At 40.4% G+C, this 7,028-nt stretch overlaps 1 long non-coding RNA gene across 1 annotated transcript; it reads right to left on the bottom strand.

Moving 5' to 3' along the window:
- Window positions 1-1,515: 1,515 nt before the first annotated feature.
- On the bottom strand, window positions 1,516-5,556 carry LOC101927657 (uncharacterized). Its single transcript, NR_125421.1, has 3 exons — window positions 5,494-5,556; window positions 3,665-3,795; window positions 1,516-2,743 (listed from the first exon to the last, which is right to left on the bottom strand). It is a non-coding gene; the product is annotated as an uncharacterized LOC101927657 (long non-coding RNA).
- Window positions 5,557-7,028: the final 1,472 nt, after the last annotated feature.

Here is a 7,028-nt window from a genome sequence, read left to right as displayed (position 1 = left end):
TATCATATTGTATTTCACAGATTCTGAATGGGTCACATGCACACACAGTGGCCAAAAACAATGTGATGCTCTGATTGGTCAGGCATGAGTCACATGCTTGCTGCTACAGCCACAGATGGTATTAATGCCACCTGACACACATGTTTTGGGAGTGGACAGATTAGTGCTTTTTTCTGTTAGCAGAAAATGGGTAATATGGCTAAGAGGAAAAAACTTCAGCTGGCACCATAGGCTCCTACATCTGATGCCATTTATAAAACCCAAAAAGAGGATGTAAAATCAAACCACTGGGGAAATATATTTGAGGCTTAGGAGTTATAGTAAAACCTCCCTAATATTACAGGATTGTGCACAATTGGGGCAGAGAAGAGGCAATGTAATATAACCCCCTGAGTGTAGCATGATGATATAATTGAATCAAAATATGTTGGCTTAGAAAGAAAAAAAGAGAAATTTCCTCTCACAGTTTCACCAATTACCAGAGGAATAGGAAGTAATATCAATGTGGGCCTATAGATAAAATAAGTAGTTCGTGTAAAATCATCTCAGTTTCATTTCAGGATCATGTTAAAATAAATTCACCAGGTAGCCCATTGGATTTGAGTCATCAGATAGAATTCAACAAACATTTTCTAAGTACTTCACTGTGTGCTATACTGGAGTAGCTGGTGGGGAGGGAAGCTTCAGTTGAAGGAAAACCCCAAACACAGAACAGGAGAGTGAATCAGGAAAGTCAGACTCTGGGACAGCAGGGCTGGTGTGGTAGGGGGCAGGCAAACGGATGAAGGCTTTCTGTGGGGCATGTGGCACCCTTGCGGCCCTCTGCTCAAACCACCCCCGACCCCACCAAGGCTTCCAGGTGCCAGCTCCTGCATTTCTTTGCCTCAGGACTTTCTGTTGCTGTAAGAGACCCTTTTCCCACCTACAGCAGGCAGGAAGAGCCAGGGAAGTAACTTCTGTACCATCCCAGCACTAGCAGCCCTCAGCCAATGACTAGTGGAAATGGATGCCTGCATACCAAGCTCCCTTGCCCTTCTAGGGGTAGGGGTGGGTGGGTAACTCAGGGATTTGTGTTTCACACTGACTCCCAGGGATTCCTCAAGGGAGTAAGCTACAGTTGTCCACACTGATAGCTGGCTTGATAACGCACCCTGTGTTGATGGCCTTCCCTTCTTTGTCTCACTTCTCCACTCCCCTACTGGTCTTCACATCCCAAATAAACTACTTGCATTCAATTTCTTGCTTCAGGATCTGCTTCTGGGGAAAGCAAAGACTGGAGATGGAAATTGCTGCTATTGAAGATGTGGATGTGTGATTGTGGACTAGGAAATGCCTAAGGACCAGGCAAGTAACGACTTCAATATTGTGTCAGCTCAGAGCTTCTGTGCCTACCTTCGGAGACTAGATTGTGTTTTTCCAAAATTCCAAATAGGGCTTTGTCTATTTTAGGTATTGAAAGAGGGTGTATTAGTCTGTCCTCATGCTGCTAATAAAGACATGCCCAAGACTGGGTAATTTTGTAAAGGAAAGAGGTTTAATGCACTCACAATTCCACATAGCTAGGGAGGCCTCACAATTGTGGCAGAAAATAAAGGAAGGGCAAAGGGGTGTCTTCCATGGTGGCAGGCAAAAAGAGCCTGTGCAGGGGAACTCCCATTTATAAAACCATCAGAGCTCATGAGACTTATTTACTACCATGTGAACAGTATGTGGGAAACTGCCCCCATGATTCAATTATCTCCACCTGGTCCCATTCTTGACACATGGAGATGATTACAAACCAAGGTGAGATTTGGGCGGGGACACAGATAAACCATATCAGAGGGTATCCAAGCCTTGAGCCCTTGAGAAAATGTCAGAGAAGCTCAGCAGCAGGAGTCAGGTGACGTCAGTGTCATCTTCTGACACTCTCTGTCTTGCTCTTTATGCCTTAGCAACATCTCAAGGATTTCCCTTTTCCCCAAGTCCAGTGCTGTTTCCTCTTTCCTTGCTGTACTATTCCTTGTGATTTTTCCTTCCTATCTGGAGATAACCCATTTCTTTGTCAATCTTGTAAAATCCTTCTTTAAGACTCAGCTGTTGAGTCCTTTCAGAGCAGTGAATGTTTCCCTCCATAATAGCAGCTCCATATTATATTAAGTTACTGTGTTGCACTCCTGCTGTCCCCCGCTGTGCCTGCAACCAGATTGGAAAAGTGAAGAGGGCAAGAACTGTGTTCATCAGAATCCTCAGAGTGAAAGTGTTCCAGCAGCCTGCAAAAGTAGCAGCAAATACGACTAGGGGAAGAAGGAATTGAGCATCTACTCTTGAAGTGGGCCGGGCAACACAACAGAGTAGAAAGCATTTTTGAGCTTGCTGCTGGAGGCTTATGCTTGGGGGTCATGGAGAATTTTTAGAGGAGAAGTTGAAAGAGGCAGACACATGGGAACATGGGAACACAATGCCTATTTAGAAGAGAGCAAGTGGCTTGGGTACAGGAGAGTTTCCAGAGGGTGGGGAGATGAAGCTGGGCATGGTGGACCTTCAGGAGTAGACCATGGACCACTAGAAGCAAACATCATGTCCCCTAAGACCTTATAAGAATTGCAGAATTTGGGCTTACTGAAAAAGAATATGCATCGTAACAAGATTCCCAGGTGACTGGTATGCACATGAAAGTTCCTGAAGCCCTAGGAAGTTCTTGCAGATTTTGAGATCCAGCAGTGATGTGCTCAGGCAGAGTAGCCGAGGTCTCCTCTATCACCTGAGCAAAGCAATACAGAATTATTTGAATTAATTTTAAATTATCAACGACCCTAAGCTTCTGTTTTCCATTTCTCTTCTTGACAAAGCCAGAGATGAACTTGACTATTATTGTCAACAACTTGCTTTACTACCTCCTCCCCTTTACAGATGGTTTTTATGTGGGAAGCTGCTTGACAGAGGGGAATGACGCTACATAGCAAAGTCTTTTGGATATAAGAAGAGGCGTGTCTATTCCCATTTTTCCCTTCCTTTCTCCCTCCTTCCCTCCCTCTTTTCCTTTATTCCTTCTTTCCTCATGAAACACATGATGAATTCACCTCCTTGCATTCCAGGGATCCAGAGAGGCTAAAGATCAGGTGAAATGAACATGTCAATAAGAAGAAAAAATTCAAATTGACCTATCATTTTACATTTAAGATGTTTGAATGTATATTCTTGTTTCAGAGACTAGGCTACCAAATAAAAGTTCTAACATTGAATTTTTATATTAGAAATTATTTCAAAACTGTGTTTTAAAATTTACTGTTACCCAAAATCTAAACCTACTCCTGGCTTCCCCCTATTGCTGGACAATTACCACCTTGCCACAGCTGTTTTATGCATGGATAAGTATATGTCTCATAAAATTTACTAGCAGAAAAATAACAGGCAATATTATGACAAAATCCTGACAGATTTTTTACACTGACGTATTAATCATAGGGCTTATGTAGCATCTCAATGTGACCAAATAGTAATTATAGTTTGGACGTTTTGGTGGTTACCTGAATAATGTCAAGCATGACTGCAAATATCTTTTCCTTAGCAGCATAAAAAAAAATATCTATTACTTCATTGTTTGTCAAAATAGCCTTGGGCTATGTCTCTAGGATGCCAACTATAAGTCAGTTACCAGCTACCAGGAAATAGATATACTCACTTAGGCTTGAGTAATTGAATTCTTTAATTTGCATCCAGATGTTCTTGTGTGGAAGCTGCCTATGACCAGGAAATATGTACAGTGCAGATCAATAACTTGACAGGTTAGCATTATTTTGAATGTGTGGTTTCCTGTGTACAGCAAAAAGAATGAAATGCATTATTTAGTATCTTGCACATAGTAGGTGCCCAATGAGCCTTGTTGGGATGTTGCCATAAATACAGCAGGCTTTAAAACAGCACATCTTCTGTCCATTCTATATGTCTATTCAGTGCTTTTCTATAAATAGCCTGCACTGATTCCAATCCATAACCATTGTGTGACTTGATTTTAAGTGCCTTTAAACTTAAATAATGATGCTCTACAGGAATATTTAGATGAGGTTCAGTTGGACAACATGAATGCTGATAATAGGAGAGTTAATGAAGTCATAGGAACTATCTTGCCACTAATTCAATGTGATAGACTTGGGCTGATTACCCTATCCAAGCATATTGCTGGAATTTCTCTTTTAATGCAGGCAGAGTTTTCTAATCTGAGATAGAGAAACTCTTTCCAATACAAACTAGACAAGTGTAGCTGGTATTTGCAAAAGGAATGGACTCAAGAGGGAGATGCTGAGTGAGTTCTCCCAAGAAGCGGAGGCTTTCTGGATAGAACTGTGCTGAAGAGGTAGCAATGTTTAGCCAAACAAAGAAGAAAACAGTGCTTAGAGGCTAACAAAATAGTGTACTTAGAAATTGAACTTATTACATTCCTACCCTGTGAGTTAGGGCTTTCAAATCCAAAATGAAGCCTTTTTTCTTGCGTGTGTATAATCTCAATTAATCAAAACTCTTAATTAAGCCTTCATTTCTAGAGGGGAAATCATATAAGCTTTGAATCAGACAGAAAAGTGTTCTAACTACATTCATACAAACAACATAGTCTCTCTGAACCTTTGTCACAGTATTTGTAAAGTGGGTTTATTGTAAAAATTAAATGAGACAATGTAGGCAAACATTAGTCACTGCAAATTCCTGGCACATGGTAATAACAATGCAAATATTTGTTCCCCAAAAGGAAACTTCTAAGATTTGAGCTAGAATTACTTAAGTCTTCAATACTTTCTTGTGCGAGCCATGCGGTATTGCTCTGCTTTTATTTTCTTATCTATAAAATGTGGAAAATGGTAGTACCAATATTATGAAGTTTTTTTAGGAATAGCTGAGAAAATACATGTAAAATAATGATACCAATGTCAGGCACAAAGTAAGTGATTGAAAATATTGGGTGTTTTAATTATTATTACATATTTTTTACAACCTCCACTATGTGAAAATATAAATCTAGAGAAATCTTAATTGAGATAGTTGCTATTAGTTGAATGTCTCCTATGTTTGAGGCACTATGCTAAAAGTTAATAAGTATATTTCAATTTAATCTTTACAACTACATAGCAAAAGAGGTGTTATTATTCCCACTTCAGATATAAGAATACAGGGCTCAGAGGTGTTATGTAATTTGCCAGAAACTACAGAGTTAGTTAAGTTAGAGTGACAATGTTGAGATTGTAGATCTTCATCTAATTCTGTAGCTAGAACTCTTTCTGCTGTACCACACTACCACCAAGTCCAAGTGTAACTCTGACTGGATAAGGACGCACAAATGACTCTGAGTTGTACATAAGGGGTCGCAGATAATTTTTGGAAAGAATATTTTCAATAGGACAGAGATGAGAACTTGTTAGATCTATGCATAGGGAAGGTGTATTAGTCCATTCTCACGCTGCTATAAAGAACTGCCTGAGACTGCGTAATTTCTATAGGAAAGAGGTTTAATTGACTCACAGTTCCACATCGCTGGGAAGGCCTCAGGAAACTTACAATCATGGCAGAAGGCAAAGGAAAAGCAGGCACCCTCTTCACAGGGCGGCAGAATGGAGTAAGTGCAAGCAGGGGAAATGCCAGATGCTTATAAAACCCTCAGATATCGCGAGACTCACTCATTATCACGAGAACAGCATGGGGAAAATCGCCCCCACGTTCCTGCCCTTGGTCCTGCCCTTGAAACATGGGAATTATTACAATTCAAGGTGAGATTTGGTCAGGGGCACGGCCAAACTATGTCAGAAGACATGTGTGTGAGTTTGAAATTGTTGAGGATGGGAACAAGAAAAGGAAAAGGAAAAGGTGAGAATTCTGAAAACAAACTTACCATATATATATTATATATATATAATACCATATATATATAATATATACCATATATATTATATATATATATACATACACACATATAAAATTACATTGGACTAAATATACCATGGTGTTTCTTACTGTGTCTTTCAAATTATGGTGCAGTTTAGTTATTAAGAAGAGGGAAGACTCTGAACTCAAGGTGGGTTTAAATCTTTGCTTTGCCTCTCACCAGTGGTATAGTCTTGAGCACATTAACTTCTCTGTGCCTTAGCTTCCTCCTCTGCAAAATGAAAAGAGGACCCCAGCATTTCATTAGAATTACTCCAATAAATACTGATGTCTGTCTCACCCCAAGAAATTCTTATTTAACTTGTCTGGCATGGAGCCCCAGCATCGGAATGTTTAAAAACTACCAGAAGTGACTGTAATATGCAATCAGGGTTGACACTCATCAGTTAAACACTAGAATGTAAGTTCTCTGCAGGGAAGACCAGCCTCATGATGGCCCCAGAGTCTAGTTCATTGCCCAGTACACAATACACACTCAATAAAAATTCAGTGAGTTAATAATTACACAAATACAAGAATGTATGACTGGGCTTAGATTCAGCTCTGAGGCCTGATTCTACATCCAGTGATCCTTCTACATTCTATAATGCTGCTACTTGGATATTTACAGAAGACTGCTAGTTTCTTTGGACAATGTGACCCACCCTTAGTTATTCAGATAATCCAAACCAACTGGCTTAAGCAAAATGCAAATTTTTGACTCATTAAATTAAAGAGTCCACGGGTGGCCTACCTTTAAGCATGGTAGAATTCCAGAACATAGATGGTGTCCTCAGGGCTGTGATTCTCCCCCTTCTTCTCTTGACTCCTCTTCTCTATTAGACACTTTTCCCAGATGTGCTGTTCCCTTGAGGTGTCAGGATGGCACCCACTGTGTCTGCTTGACTCGGAGCTCTGTGTTAGCTGTCCCGTCCTAGGAGCCAGGGATGGGAGCTCACTCAAAGGCCACGGACTGGGAACAGGAGGAGTTCACTCCCTGCCAAAAAGAATCAGAATTCCACTGTCAAAGAAGTATGGCTTCTTGATTACCAAATCCAACGTAATAGATGGAAATATCTAGAACTTGTCTATCCATATGGTTTTAGGAGAAAAAAAGTCATTGTAAGAGGAGTCTA

This window comes from Homo sapiens, chromosome 8, assembly GCF_000001405.40.
Source record: "Homo sapiens chromosome 8, GRCh38.p14 Primary Assembly".
Lineage (NCBI taxonomy): Eukaryota > Metazoa > Chordata > Mammalia > Primates > Hominidae > Homo > Homo sapiens.
The sequence above is the reverse complement of the archived record's forward strand: the minus strand, read 5'-3'. Positions and strand labels throughout refer to the sequence as shown.